At 49.1% G+C, this 16,492-nt stretch overlaps 1 pseudogene across 1 annotated transcript in view; it reads right to left on the bottom strand.

The window, feature by feature from the left end:
- Positions 1-15,939, bottom strand: part of PRKY (protein kinase Y-linked (pseudogene)) — a 107,576-nt pseudogene extending 91,637 nt beyond the window's left edge. The window contains exon 1 of the transcript NR_028062.1: positions 15,433-15,939. The product of NR_028062.1 is annotated as a protein kinase Y-linked (pseudogene) (transcript). The remainder of the gene's footprint in view (positions 1-15,432) is intronic.
- Positions 15,940-16,492: the final 553 nt, after the last annotated feature.

Raw genomic sequence — 16,492 nt, 5'->3', positions numbered from 1 at the left:
GTGCTGGAATTACAAGTGTCGAGAGACCACGCCCAGCCTGAAAATCAATGAAGTTGACAAGACAGAATTTGTTCTCAAAAGAAAACACTAAACTTTACGGATGAACTAAAAAAAGCTTTAATAAACAAAATCACGCATAACAACTATTCTATTCGTGTCCACGGAATGTTTTGCATCATTACAGATTTCTTTCTATATAAATATATTTTTTTTTCTGTTTTCTTTCTTTTTATATTTTATGTCCGTTTCTTTTTTTCTTTCGTTTCAGAATCGTGCTCTTTTGCTAAGGCTGGAGTGCAGTGGCGCCATCATAGCTCACTGTAGCCTCCAACTCCTAGGTTTAAGTGGTCCTCCTGCCTCAGCCTCCTGAATTGCTAGGACTATAGGTATGAGACCCACCATACACATGGCTAACTTTTTTCTATTTTTGTAAAGACAAGGTCTCACTATGTTGTATAGGCTACTCTAGAACCACTAGCCTCAAATGATTCTCCTTCTTTGACCTCCCAAAGCCCTGGGATTATAGGCATGAGCCACTATGTGTCACTTATTTTCTCTTCTATTTTTATTATTTTGTTGTTGTTGTTGTTGTTGTTGTTGTTGTTAAGAAGGAGTGTTGCTCTGTCCACCCAGACTGGAGTGCAGTGGCACAATCTCAGCTCACTGCAACCTCTGCCTCCCAGATTGAAGCAATTCTCTCACCTCAGCCTCCCAAGTAGCTGGGATTACAGGCACGCACCACCATGCCTGGCTGATTTTTGTATTTTCTTAGTAGAGACGGGTTTCACCATGTTGGCCAGGCTAGTCTCTAACTCCTGCCTCAGCCTCCCAAAGTGCTGGGATTACAGGCACAAGCCACCGTGCCTGGCCTATTTTTTTCTTAAGGTGTGATTGCGAACAGAATCAACAGCCCATGAAGAGGAAATTCTAGACAAGTTGCTTTCTCAACACCCTTTTGATTTCTGGAATCTCATCCAAGCTGGATTTTGCAATCTTTTAAGAATAATTCCCTATGACATTGTCCCAACTATAAGCTAGCTCTGTCAGTGGCATCTGAACCAGAGCAACTCCATCTTGAAGAGGTGTTGGTTAACATGAGGCTGAAGCCTGCTGGGCTGTGTGCCCAGATGGTTAAGGCATTCTAAGTCACGGGATGAGATAGGAGTTCAGCACAAGATGCCGGTCATAAAGAGCTTGCTGATAAAACAGGTTGCGGTAAAGAAGCTGGCCAAATCCCACCCAAACCAAGACGCCGACAAGAGTGACCTCTGGTTGTCCTCACAGCTATACTCCCACCAGCGCCATGACAGTTTACAAATGCCACGGCAACATCAGGAAGTTACCCTATTTGGTCTAAAAAGGGGAGGCATGAATAATTCACCTTTCATTTACCATATAATCAAGAAATAGCCATAAAAATGGGCAACCAGCAGCCCTCGAGGCCGCTCTGCCTATGGAGGAGCCATTCTTTTATTCCTCTACTTTCTCAGTAAACTTGCTTTCACTTTACTCTATGGATTTGCCCTGAATTTTTTCTTGCGCGAGATCCAAGAACCCTCTCTTGGTGTCTGAATCTGGACCCTTTCTGTTAACAGTTCTGTTCCCTCCACTCTGGTCCTCTTATTGCCAAGACTCCAACATAAGCATGCATACCCAAATAAATGCAGGCAGGCTTCACAGAGTTCCCCTCTGCCTGCCCATCCAAAGAGATCCCAGGTGCCCTAAGCATGACAAAGCACTTCTTTCTTCTGTGCCAAGGTTTCTCTGGCCACACCTGTGTGCAACCCCTTTGTTCTGCAAAATGACTCCCAAGGGAACGATTCACCAAGGTGAAAACATCCACCAAATTAGTTGTCAACAATTTTAAAAGAACCCTCCACAGGTTGCCCTCCAAATCTCTTTGATGGGGTACCTCCCCAGTATAACATCCAAAATAACTACCTCGGAGAATAATGTAATGCCCACACACAACGCATGCTAAGTAAATGGTAGCGTGGGTTGCAAGGATCTGTGTGGACTTGTGCAATTTAACAGGAACTGCGTGAGACAACTTCCTTTTTCTATGTCCTGGTGAAAAATTCCAGTGGATTTTTAAACAGGTACGAGGGCATGGAGGCCAGCAGGGAAGACATTGTATAGAAGGAAGGTCTATTTTTCTTTTTTTTTTTTTTAATTGAGGCAGGGTCTCACTCTGTCACACAAGCTAGAGTGCAGTAGCACAATCGCAGCTCACTGAAGCCTCTACCTCCCGAGCTCAAGCAATCCTCCCGTCTCAGCCCCCCGAATAGCTGGGACCACAGGCATGCGTCCCCATGCATGGCTGATTTTTTTCCCCCTTTGTAGCAGTGGGGTCTTCTTATGTTGCCCAGGCTGGTCTCAAACGTCTGGACTCAAGTGATCCTCTCACCCTGGCCTTCCAAAGTGCTGGGATTACACGTGTGAGCCACCGTGCCCAGCCGTATTTTTCAAACATATTAAAGAATGACCAGGGTCTAACCTTGACAGTTCTGGATTAAGCAGGATGGAAAGGCCCAAACTAGTCATATGGACAGTTTTATGTCCTCCTCTCTTCTCTTCTCTCCATCTTATGAGAGAATGAGCTGTGCATTGTGGTGTGTCCCTGTAGTCCCAGCTACCTGGGAGACTGAGGCAGGAGGATCACTTGAGCCCTGTAGTTTGAGGCTGCAGCTGAGCTATTGATTGCACCCCTACTGCACTCCAGCCTGGGCGACAGAGCAACACCTTGTCTCTAAAAAACAAAAAACAAATAAAATCATGATAATCCCTTGACCTGGCCACTCTATCATCTGACAGAAGACATGAAAGGCGGGAAGAACTGCCCAGAGGTGTCCCACAGGAAATTCCTCCGTAGGAAACTCACCATACTGGCAACAGCCTCCCACACTGACAACCTCTGTGTGGTCTCCTTAGACCACAGGAAGGTGGAAGCCATCAGTGCTGGAGGGAGAAGGAATTTCCATCCTCGCACCTGAGTATCCTCTGCAGATCATTTACATCTTCGCTAAAGGTGTTCAGACAGGGTAGGGTGAGTCTCCTGGATGCCTATTCTGCCATCATGGGAGAATTGCTGGGAGGCTTCAAATGCATCTAATGTGTTTTTGGGTGTTTTTGGTTGTTTTTTTTTTTTTTTTTTGAGATGGAGTCTCACTCTATCACCCCAGGTTGGAGTGCAGTGGCACAGACTCGGCTCACTGCAACCTCTATCTCCCGGGTTCAAGTGATTCTCCTGCCTCAGCCTCCTGAGTAGCTGGGATGACAGGCACCCACTACCGTGCCCAGCTAGTTTTTGTATTTTTGGGTACAAACGGGGTTTCGTCATGTTAGCCAGGCTGGTTTCAAACTCCTGACCTCAGGTGATCTGCCCACCTCGGCCTACCAAAGTGCTGGGATTACAGGTGTGAGCCCCCAGGCCTGGCCTCTAATGGCTATTTATCATGTTTTCTCCTACTCAGATCAAATGCAAATGCCAACTGGACTTTCACTTAAGATCCTAATAGGGAAGCAAAATGTCCATCATCCTGTGTTACCCAACACAGCACAGAATCGGAGATGCCAGGAAAACATGCCCACCCGAGAAATGCAACGTGAAAACACTCCAGAAAGGAGGGGCTTCTTAAAAGTATTGGTTGCACTGGTTTCATTCTTTTTGCACAAGGGAACCTTGGAAAAAAAGGGGTCTGCCAAGTTTACCCGCACACACGTGAGTATTACCAAATTCATCCACATGCCCAGGTTTCTGTGCAAACAATCTGCCCTCTAGCACCTGCGTTTCCGTCTTGCTCCTCCAGCAGGATACGAGATTTGCTTCTGGAATTCTAAAGTACATAGGTCAGGCAGAGCGTGGTGGCTCATGCCTGCAATCCCAGCACTTTGGGAGGCTAAACTGGGAGGATCACTTGAGGACAAGAGCTCAAGACCAGCCTGGGCAACATGACAAGACTCTATCTCTACAAAAAAAAATCAAAACAATAGCCTGGCGTGGTGATGCACACCTGCAGTCCCAGCTACTCAGGAGGCTGAGGTGAGAGGATCCCTTGAGCCTGGGACGTCAATGCTGCAGTGATACCACATCACTGCACTCCAGCCTGGGTGTCCAAGTGAGACCCTGTCCAAAAAAAAAGGAGTGAGATAATGCCGTATTTGTCTCTCTGTGCCTGGCTTATTTCTCAGAGCATAATGACCTCCAGTTGCATCCACATTGTTGCAAATGACAGGACTTTATTGTTTTTACAGGCTGAATAGTACACCATTGTGTACAGACCATATTTTCTTCACCCACTCATCCGCTGACAGACACAGGGGTTGTTGACCTATCTTGGTTATTGTGTGACTCAGGCTGCAGTGAACCTGAAAGTGCAGGTATCTCTTCATTGCATGTGAGTTTAAGCCACTGTATTTGTGGTCCTTCATTCCAGCAGCCATGCAAGACTAAGACAGTGTGAAGGAACATGAGAGAGATTGCAGAAGTCAACCAACAAGGGGGATCTTCTAAGAAGCCAGCTTTAACTGGGGTGACACTACAATATTGCTTTAGGAGAAGTTCCAATGTATCCCTAGATGCATTACAATTTTCACAGGGGCAATGATCTGAATTATGTGCCCCAAAAAATCATATATCAATGCCCTCATCCCCAGACTTTAGCATGTGACTGTTTGGAAATGCTGTCCTTGAGGAGTTAATTAAGGTAGAATGAAGTCATTAGGGTGGACCCTGACCCAATAGGACTGGTATCCTAGTAAGAAGAGGAAGCTGGGTGCAGTGGTTCATACCTGTAATCGCAGCACTTTGGGAGGCTGAGGCAGGAGGATTTCTTGAGGCCAGGATTTGAGACCAGCCTAGGCAACATTGGGAGACTCCATCTCTAGGAAAAATATATATACAAAAGCTGAGCATGGTGGTGCACACCTGTGGTCCCAGCTATTCAAGAGGCTGAGGTGGGAGCGTTGCTTTGGGCCCAGGAAGCCAAGGCTGCAGTGAGCTATGATAGCACCACTGAACTCTGGGCTGGGCCAGAGCAAAATCCTGTCTCTAAAAAAATAAAAATTAAAAAAGAGGAGATAAGGACACAAAGGCGAATGGAGGGATGGCCCTGTGAGGACACAGGGAGAAGATAGCATCTACAAGCCCAAGAGAGAGGCCTTAGGAGGAACCAGGCCTGCCCACACCTTGATCTCAGACTTCCAGCCTCCAGGACTGTGGGAAAATTAATTTCTATTAAATAAGTCACTCAGTCTGTGGTATTTTGTTATGACAGTCAGAGCAAACTAATACAGTTACACCCTACATTCATTCTCGAAGGGGCTCCTGTGGCTTCCATCTCCAAAACAGAACAAGAAGACCAAGAATCCCACCACTCATGATCTCAATGGTGAAACCCCGTCTCTACCAAAAAGACAAAAATTAGCCGGGTGTGGTGGCAGGCATCTGTAGTCCCTGCTGCTCAGGAGACTGAGGTAGGAGAATCACTTGAACTGGGGGGTGGAGGTTGGAGTGAGCTGAGATCACGCCACTACACTCCAGCCTGGGCGACAGAGCTAGACTCGATAACAAAAAAAAAAAGTCTGCCACCATGCTCTGCAAGACCTGGCCACCAGTAGCGTCAAACTCTGTCTCTTTCCTTGCACAGTCCTGGGATTACAGGCTCGAGCCACCAGCTTCCTCTTTATCTTCTTTCCCATCAAGGTGAAATTCACTATAACATAAAATGAATCATTTTAAAATTGACCATCTAGTGACATTTAGCATATTCACAGTGTTGTACAACTGTCATCTCAATCTAGTTCCAAAATATGTTTATCGCCCCCAAAGGAGACTGGATATTCTATTCAGCAGTCCTCCCCATTTCCCCTCCCAGCTGTCTCCCTGAGCCACTGGGTTGGCTTTCTCCATCTCTCGGGATCTGTGTGTTCTATGTTCCTCTTCATGTTAAAATTTCTTCCTCTTCTTCAGTTTCCATCTCCAAGGAGATGAGCAACACGTGGGAGGCAAGGTAAGGAGACCCAGGGCCAGTAGTTTCTTGTTCAAGAGGATGGGGGAAATGCAGATCCCTGGAAAAGAAGACTTCAAAAGAGGCCAGAAACAAGAGGAATAATGCTGAGAAAATATAGCATGAAAAAGTGGAAGAGAACAGAACAGAAAAGCAGAGATGTTCAGTCTGCATGAAAGAGGTAATGATGGATCATCTCATCACAGCTGCCTTTCCATGGACCCTGCTGCATGGGGTGAATAGAGCCCCATCTAAATCCATTTGGGCTGCCATCACAAAACACAGTAGACCAAGGCTTAGAAACAATAGACATTTACTGCTGTCAGTCCTGGAGGCTGGAAGTCCAAGATGAAGGTGTGGAAGATTCAGCATCTGGCAGAGACCAGCTTCCTAATTAACAGTGCTATCTTGCTGTGTCCTCATATAGTGGAAGGGGCGAGGGAGCTCCCTGGGGTCCCTTTTATAAAGACACTGATCCCATTCATGAGGACCCACCCTCATGACCTCATCACCTCCTAAAAGCCCTACCTGCTAATATCATCATCTTGGGGACTAGGGTGTCGACATAAGAATCTTGGGGTGGGGGACACAAATATGATGATGGTGGCCCCAAACCTGGTTTTGAGTCTGGACCCACCACAGTAAACGACCACAGGGAGGCAACCTACAGAAACGGCAGAGGGAACCCGTCACACAGAAGAAACAACGGTTCCACCTTCTTACCAGGAAGCTGGCTTAACAGGAAGCTTCTAACCACAGACTTTTCTAACAGGGAAAACTCGGTCACAATTCCAGACAAAGCAAAGCACTTTCAGCTTTTTGGAAGGACTGCCTTGGGGCTTTCTCTGTATTTCCCCCAAGGTTTTTTGTTTGTTTGTTTGTTTGTTTTAAACAACCACAATGCCACCAACATTACCACCTTTTTGAAAGATTCTCTCTCTCTTTTTTCTTTTCAACTTTACATACGCAATTTCATGCTGGAGAGAAGAGGAAACTGATGGATAGAAAAGGTTTATTTTTTGGAGACCTACAGTGTGCCAGGCACTGTGTAATCATCTCCCTTGATACTTCCTTTTATTTTTGACATAGGCTCTTACTCTGTTGCCCAGGCTGGAGCACGGTGGCACCATCATGACTCCTGCAGTCTCCACCTCCTGGGCTCAAGTAATCCTCCTGCCTCAGCCTCCCTAGCAGTTGGGACTACATACAAGCCCATGCCACCACACTCAGCTACTTTAAAAAATTTTTTTTGGCCAGACGTGGTGGCTCATGCCTATAATCCCAGCAGTTTGGGACGTTAAGGCAGGTGGATCACAAGGCCAGGAGTTCAAGACCAGCCTGGCCAAAATGGTGAAACCACATCTCTATAAAAACTACAAAAATTAGCCAGGCACAGTGGCAGGAGCCTGTAATCCCAGCTACTTGGGAGGCTGAGGCAGGAGAATCGCTTGAACCTAGGTGGCAGAGGTTGCAGTGAGCAGAGATTGCAGCACTGCACTCTAGCCTGGGTGACAAAGTGAGACTGTCTCAAAAAAAAAAAAATTTTTTTTTTGAGATGGGGTATTACTATATTGCCCAGACAGATACTGAGCTCCTGGGCTCAAGAGATCCTCCCACCTCAGCGTCCTAAAGTGCTGGGATTACAGGCATGAGCCTCCACACCTGGCTTCCCATGAATTTTTATTTTTTTGAGACAAGGTCTCTGTCACCCAGACTGCAGTGCAGTACCAAGATCTCAGCCCACTGCAGCCTCAACCTCCTGGGCTCACGATTGTCATGCCTTCACCCTCCTTTGATTTTCACAAACCATGTCTCTTCCTGGTGGGGAGTGTCTGCTGCTTTCGAGAGTTTAACATCTCCCTTCTTTGCAGCGTGCCTATGAACTGCAGATGACATTGCTTTTGTCGTCTGATCCAGTGTGCATGCCCTACATTCCCAGGGAGGAGGCAGCGTGCTGCAGGCGAAACCTACTGCCACATAGCATCCCTTCTCTCAGACCCTCTTTCCATTAAGAAGACTACAAGCACGGTGGACACACCTGTAATCCCAGCTACTTCCGTGGCTGAGGTGGGAGGATCACTTGAGCACAGGAGTTCGAGACCAGCTTGGGCAACATAGCCATACCCAACTCTATAAAAATAAATAAATAAATTAGTTGAGTGTGGCAGTGCACATCTGTAGTTCCAGCTACTTGGGAGGCTGAAGTGGGAGGATCACTTGACCCAGGGAAGTGGAGGCTGCAGTGAGCTATGGCTGTAATACTACACCCTAGCCTTCACTACAGAGTGAAACTCTTGTCTTTAAAAAAAAAAAAAAAAAAAGAGGCAGCCGGGCGCGGTGGCTCACGCCTGTAATCCCAGCACTTTGGTAGGCCAAGGCAGGTGGATCATGAGGTCAGGAGATCGACACCATCCCAGCTAACACGGTAAAACCCAGTCTCTACTAAAAATACAAAAAATTAGCCGGGCATGGTGGTGGGCGCCTGTAGTCCCAGCTACTCGGGAGGCTGAGGCAAGAGAACAGCGTGAACCCGGGAGGCGGAGCTTGCAGTGAGCCAAGATTGCACCAATGTACTCCAGCCTGGGCGACAGAGCAAGACTCCGTCTCAAAAAAAAAAAAAGAAAAAAGAAAATAATGTTAATATTGTCATGGTGGAACTTCTGCCCATAAACTAATGTACATATTGTACCCGTCCAGTACTTGGCATCAGTGAGTGTCATAAAGAACAACTGCCGATAATGCCATCATCCATTCATTTATTTATTCACACACAGAGTGACCAGCTTGTCCCTGTCTCTGCCTGGGACTTTCCCAGCTAGCATTGAAGGTTTCCCACCTCAGGAAATCCCAGGCATATGAGGAGGGTTGATTTCTCTATTCATGCAGTGGATGGTCTTGGGCACACACTAAGTGCCGGGTCTGTTCTTTGGATGTGGGAGATGAAAGCGACTCCAACACACAGAGGTCCCTGCACTCTTGGCATTTATGTGCCAGCAGCGGAGGCAGGCGGAATGCTTGAGCCCAGGGGTTCAAGACTAGCCTGGGCAACACAGCGAGACCCTGTCTCTTTTATTTAAAATAAGTCCTGCACATGTATCTTAATTTAACTTAAATTTAATTTAACATGTATTTTAATTTAACTTAAATTAAAAAAATAAAATGAAATAAACAATGAAGAGGAGAAACCGGCAGGACTTCTATCCTTGGAAATGTTCTCTGACGTGTAATATTTGATCTCATCTCTTGGCATTTGCATGATGCACTTAAAGGAAACTGTCATTCACACATGCATGAGCCTGTCTCACACGGAGCACCCACACAAGATAAATAAGATCAAAGGGCTGAGCTCCACTTTCTGTGTATTGTTAGGCTACAAACAACACTCCTAATTGCTATGTCAACACTGCCCACAAGGCTGCTGATTTATGCACACAGTAGAATCTCACCAGTTCAGATGCCATTCGTCCCGGCAGCATGCTGTGTGGGGATGCCGTGGACTCAATGTCTGTGTCCCCCTAAAATTCCTGTGTTGAAATCCTCACCTGCAAGGTAATGGTGTCAGGAGGTGAGGCCCTAGGGAGGTGATGAGGTCGTGAGGTTGGAGCCTCATGAATGGGATCACTGCCCTTATAAAGGGACCCCAGAGGGCTCCCTCACCCCTTCCACCATGTGAGGACACAGCGAGAAGGCACCATCTATGAACCAGGAAGCAGGTCCCCACCAGACACCAAATCTGCCATGCCTTCATCTTGGACCTCCAGCCTCCAGAATTGTGAACAATAATAAATGTCTGTGGTTTGCTACTCTGGAGGCTGAGGCAGGAGAATAGTGTGAACCCAGGAGGCGGAGTTTGCAGTGAGCCTAGATTGCACGACTACACTCCAGCCTGGGTGACAGAGCAAGACTCTGTCTCAAAAAAAAAAAAAAAAAGCCACCCAGTCGGTGGTATTTTGCTACAACAGCCTGAATGAACTATCTTAAGGCATTAATAAGACCCAGCAACGAGGAGAGCAAAGGAAAATTCTGGCCAATTTAGGAGAACCAATATGAGATATGGCAAGGTTTCTCTTCAAACAGCCTGCTCAACCTTTTATTCTTTAATTCCCAGTATCCACCCCTGCATCTCTTTCTTCTCCTTTTCTTCTTTCTGACTTTACTACATGCCCAGGCATGCCACAGCACCAGTGGCATTATCAGCACCAGCTCACCCTCCTTCCTTTATTTGGGAAAAGACTGGCTTTCTAGTTCGCCACAGACGACCCCTCCCTCCTCTCTCCTCTCTCCAATCATGTGTCCACCTTATCATTAAAGAACGTTGAAATGTTTAGCCAGTCGGGTCTATTTTAGATTGTGCAGTCTGACCCCAGCCAATGGGGAAAGGACACAGGGGCAGGAGTTGCCTTAGGAATAAAAACTTCTACTCTCCTTTGTTCAGGGTGCTCTTGGGGCAACCAGCCACACAGGAGGCACCCTTCTGTGCAGAAATACATTTTTTTTGCTGAGAAATCCTTTCTCTAAGGGCTCGATTTTCCTTGCAACTCCAAGCCTTATTTCTAAAAACCAAGGACAGAATTAAAAACTACCAGTACAAGCGCTTTAGATTTCAGAACCATGCATCATTAATTATGAAGATCTCCTAGCTCTTAAGAATATAAAATATTTTCAGATGGTATATCATGTGAAAGTTACAAAAAAAAATGTGTTGAGGAAGACAGAGGGGTCTGCGGTGAGGGAATTCATCCTGTACCATGGTTTGGAGGGTGGTAGCTGCCAAATCCACACACTGGGTAAAACTGCACAGAACTCTACACACACACTCGCAAACACAAATGAGCACCTTTTGAAAACTAGTAAAAGGCTGAACAAGCCAGGCACGATGGCTCATGCCTGTATACAATCCCAGCACTTTGGGAGGCCGAGGTGGGAGGATCACTTGAGGCACCAGGAGATCAAGACCTAAGCAACATAACAAGACTCTACCTCTACAAAACATACAAAAATTAGCTGGGTATGGTGGTGCATGCCTGTAGTTCCAGCTACTTGGGAGGCTGAGGTGGGAGGATCACTTGCACCCAGGAGTTCAAGGCTGGGGTGAGCCGAGCTCGCACCACTGTACTCCAGACTGGGCAACAGAGTGAGACCATGTCTCAAAAAAAAAAAAAAAAAACAAGCTGAATGAGGTATGTGTTCTCTTTAATAGGGATATACCAACATCAATGACTTGGTTCTGATATTGTCCCATGGATATGAAGACGTCACCAAAGAGAAGCTGGCTGAAGGGTCTGTGAGACTCCAGGTACTGTTTTTGAAATCTCCTGTGAGCCTGTATTTCAAAATACGTATATTTTAGTACGGGTCCAGGAACTTTGGAGTCTTCCTCATAGTAACCGTGTAGGACAGGTACTGTTATTACTTCCCTTTTTTTCAGATGAGTAAATGTAGAACTAGGTTAAGAAAAGGAAGATGAAATGTGGACCCAAATCCTGGCCACTGGTTTACCTGCTGAATTACCTCCTTCCTGACAGGCTAACATGGGGGATACCCATGAGAAACAAGCACTGGGTTATAGATGCCAAATGATTCAATAAGGACACTTTTGGAATAAAACCTAAGTTTTTTGGGGTCTTTTTTTTTTTTTTTTTGAGATGGAGTCTTGCTCTGTTGCCCAAGCTGGAATGCGGTGGTGTGATTTTGGCTCACTGTAACCTCAGACTCCCTGGTTGAAGGAATTTTCCTGTCTCAGCCTCCCATGTAGCTGGGATTAAAAGCTCACGACACCATACCCAACTAATTTTTGTATTTTTAGTAGAGACGGGATTTCACCTTGTTGTCCAGGATGGTCTCGATCTCCTGACCTCGTGATCTGCCCACCTCAGCCTCCCAAAGTGCTGAGACTACAGGCATGAACCACCGTGCCTGGCCAAACCTAAGTATTTTTTATCTGATATACAGAGAAAGCAATTCTCAAACAGTCATTTTAAGTGGGAAGATTGGTAAAATAAGGCTGGTGGATTGCTGCACAGAGAGACATCCTCTTCTGTCTACGTAGTGTTAAGTTTTTCACTTCCATAAATTATTTTATTTTATCTTATTTTATTTCATTTTATTTTTTACACAGGTCTCACTTTATTTTATTTTATTTTATTTTATTTATTTTATTTTTTAGACAGAGGGTCTCGCTCTATCACCCAGGCTGGAGTAGAGTAGCATGACTATGGTTGACTACAGCCTTGACCTCCTGGGCTCAAGTGATCCTCTTGCCTCAGCTTCCCAGGTAACTAACAGCACAGGTATGCGCCAACATGCCCAACTACCTATTATTACTATTTTTTTTTAAGAGATGAGGGTCGCGCTGTATTGCCTAGGCTAGTCTAGAACTCCTGGCGTCAAGCCATCCTCCCACTGCAACTTCCCAAATACCTGGGACTACAGGCACGCCCCACTGTACCTGGCCCAGATTTTCCTTTTTTAAAGCACAATTGTTCTCCCTCATAGGAACAAGCACGGCTTGGTTATATAAACAAGAAATTTAAAGAACCAGACTGAAACCCATTTTTTCTCTGAGGAGTCGTATGGCTGTTCTGATCCAAAGTTCCTAAAACTATTAAATCAGCCTTTAAACCAGACGTACTACAGAATCCCTTCATGCACAAAAAAGAAAAAAAAATCCATTATCAGATTTTTCACAATTGCAAACTGCACTCTTTCTTCCTAACTACCTGAACTTGAGGAAAACTGGTCTATCTAGAACACTGACAGTTTCCTTTTTTTTTTTTCCTCCATTGCCCAGGCTGCAGTGCAATGGTGTGATCTTGGCTCACTGCAACCTCTGCCTCCTGGGTGGAAGCAATTCCTCTGCCTCAGCCTCCTGAGAAGCTGGGATTACAAGCGCCTGCCACCACGCCTGGCTAATTTTTGTATTTTTTCAGTAGAGATGGGGTTTTGCCACGTTGACCAGGCTGGTCTCGAACTCCTGAGCGCAAGTGATCCGCCTGCCTCGGCATCCCAAAGTGCTGGGACTACCAGCATGAGCCACCACGTCCAGCCTGTGATTGGCTTTAAGTCATAGAAAAGAGGATTGCTCAACTGGAAATCTGCATACAGATCCCCTCCACCCACCCCCCAAAAAGTTCAGTACTTCTGGGGATGCTTGTTTGGGGCCTGAGAGAATTAGGAAGGAGGGGGAAAGAGCGCTTAAAGGCAAACTTATGTTCCAGCGGTGACAGTTTAGGATGAAGAGGGGTCACACCCACACAGACTGGGTTTCAACTCCAGACTGAGACTCAAGCTCGCCCCTCACTCTTCTCCATCACGCCTTGTAAAAGAGTCCAAAGCTGCTGTAAATTGTGGCTCAGAGAGACAATCGTGAAGACTCTAAAACCCTTGGGTTTTTTAGAATTTATTCTACTACTTTTAGGTGAATCACAGTCACATTGCTCTTTAACCAACAACAAAGAAAGGGGCTTGGATAAAATGCTGCAGATAATGTCACCAAAGCTGTGAAGTTGTCATGAGAGAGTGTTCCAGACACACACACACACACACACACACACACACCCTGGGTCCTGGTCTCCTGTTGCCCAATTAGTGTAGGATACCTAGCTCTCCTGTCACATCGTTGGAGCTCACAGGAAGTTATCCTTGAGAAAGCAGCATCATCCTCATTAAGAGAGCACTGACTGGACTGAAAAAAAAAGCTGACCTCCCTGCCCAGCCAGCTTGGTCCCTAGAGACAACGACAATCTATTTTTAAAAATGAGGTTACCCGCTTGGTACCCTAAGCTGACTTGATGTCAAACTGAGTGGCCCCCTGTCACACGAGAGCTCCTCACCTCTGCCGCCCTCCTGCCCGCATCCTGCTCTCTGCCCCGGCCTCCAGCCCCAGCTCCACGTTTCCCAACGGACCCATGTGGGTGCCCCAAAGAATGACAAACTCTGGTGCTGAGTGCCAAGGAACGGCTGGACCTCATCAATTTTCCACTGCCGAGCTGTATTTCCACCTACTGTGGCGGCTGAACCAGTCAGGGTTCCTGCCCCACCCTTCTTCCCCGCAAAACACACCCAGCTCTAAGATTAGACCAGGACAGCTTTCCATGGGGGACCAGAAGAAGAGGGAAAGCAGAGAGAAGGCAGGGAGACAGAGAGACCAAGACAGTAAGGGAACAGACAGAAAGACTGAGAGAGACAGAGGAGAAGAAATGCAGATACACGAACAGGGTCACAGAAAGAGAAACAGAGAAAGAGAGAATGAGATAGGAGGAGGGAGGGAGCGCAGAAACAAAGAGGGCCTCGTCCCACACTGTCCTTCCAAACTCAGGCTTTCCTCGTGGGCCCTTCCCTCAAGGTCTAAGTGGCAAAGAGGTCACTGAAGGAAGCTAAGTCCTCTCTTCCTCAGCGGTTCTGAAGGCCCTCTGGCTATGCCCGCTGGTCTTCCTAAGCCCTAAGGTGTGACCTTAAGCCCTTGGGCTTCCCAGCCCAGCTTCCTCCTTTCCAAAATGAGAGGACAAACAGGAGTTAAGAGGGTTTGAGAGCCCCCGCCCCACCAACACACCCAAGACACCCCCCTCCGCTCTCCCATTTATTTTCTTGACAACCAACACCCCACTTAGCCATACAGAGTCCCTAAGAAGCACAGGCGGGCCGGTGACAACTGTTTAAATCCAGCGCCCACATGCCGCTGGGATATTCTGACCCACTCTGGGCTGCCCCCATAAACCAGCGCGTGTCCGGATCCAAACGCACTGTGAACTCGAAACCTCTGTCAAGCTGCCCATTCGAGGTTAAGTTCAAAGACAGACGACAAAGGAAACGGATAAAGCGTCCAATACAAGAATTACCCATTTCAGACGCACAAGACGAAGAGCACAGGCGGTGTCAGGACATGTTAGGATCCGTCCCCAACTCCGCCGTCTTCATCCCCACAAAGCCACGAACAACTGTCCCCCGGAGCCCAGCTGCTCCTGCAGCCCATGGAGAAATCTGTACATTCCCCGCCAAGGACCCTGCCGCTGGGCACACGGGGAGGCTGGCCTGAGGGACCCCGCGCCCGTGTCCCTGGGGCCGCTGCCTGGGAGAGCGCACGAGGTACTCTAGGCGAGATGTCCTACAGGAAGTTTTGTGACGTCGGACGGCCCAGGCCCCAGAGTGCTGTGTGTTCTGGGGATACAGAGTGGTCTTCCAGAGGAGCCCTCGGCGTTCCAGGGAAGGCCCCCAGCCAGTCCGGGGGACTCGCCGGGGCTGGAGGGTGCGCTCCAGTTCTCCGAGAGGCCCCCGGGGAGACCCAGGGCGCAAGGGCAGCCCCGCGCGGGGATCCCGCTGCAGGGCCCTCCCCAGGAAGCGGGCACCCGGGGCCCTTTGTCCTACTACGGGGTCCCGGCCGCGCCGCGAGCCCCTGTGGGCCGAGTTCCCGCGCGCACTCACTCACCCATGGTGACCAGCGCGTCGCAGTCCTGCAGGCGGTAGGCAGGCGCCTCCGGCGACCGCGCCTCGGGGCTGGGGCAGAGCGCGGGCGCCCAGTCGGCGGCATCCTCCGTCACCTCTCGGGAGTTGCTCTCCGCCGCGGCCGCCTGGGCCGGCCCGGGCGCCTCCATGGGGAGGCACTCAGGTCCGGGGCGCCGGGCCAGGCCGGAGCGCTCGGGAAGCCGGACTCCCCGGGACGCAGCCTCGGAGGGCGGCGCGGCAGCCGCGGCAGCATCAACGGAGGCTCCCCATGCGCGCCCTCGCCTCTGGGTGCGCGGCTCGGCACGGCTGACGGAGACACAGAGACAATGGCTGGGCGGTGCTCACGGCACTAGCAGCAATAGCCCCGGGAGGGAGCAGCCGCTGGCCTCGCGGGGCGTGCACCGAGTGCTGGATGGCTGCGAGGAAGGCGGGGGCCCCAAGCATTCCCGGTCTCACGCCCGCCGCCTCCTCCAGCTCGGTGGCCGCGTGCGCGCTGTTGGGGCGGGCGGAAGCAGCCTGGGCGTGACTACGCCTCTCCCCGCCCCCACCCGGCCGCGGGGCTTTGGGGGGCGTCGCCTTCGCGTGGGCTCCGCCCGGGCGGCGACCCAGCCGAGGAGTCGGAGACCCGGGCGTGCAGGCGACTCCAGTCACCAAGGGCAGGGGCGGCGCTGGGGAGGTGCCCACGCCCCCTCCGCGCCCGGGGCGCCCCCGGGGTGGGACCCAGGATGACTTCTCCCCGGAGTCGCACTGGCGGGCCACCCGCGTTGCTGCACCCAAACCCGGAAGATGGGGAGGCTGGGTGGCCCGGGGACAGGGAGGGCGTGGCTCAGCAAAAGTGAAGCTCAAAAATAGAAAGTGAAATTGGCGTTTGGTGAGGAGAGGGGCTGGAATTAGCCTGGCTACTCAGGACGCGCGCTGCGCGCGGATCCCCAAGAGGGGCTGCCGGGTCTGGGGAACAAGGTCAGCGCCCTGGTTTCGTCGTAGGACTGGTGATTCCACATTTTTACTTGGAAAGGGGGAGAAAGGGTGGGCTTGACTCTGTG

Source organism: Homo sapiens, chromosome Y (genome assembly GCF_000001405.40).
Source record: "Homo sapiens chromosome Y, GRCh38.p14 Primary Assembly".
NCBI classification, from domain to species: Eukaryota; Metazoa; Chordata; class Mammalia; order Primates; family Hominidae; genus Homo; species Homo sapiens.
This window is presented reverse-complemented; position numbering and strand designations above follow the sequence as displayed.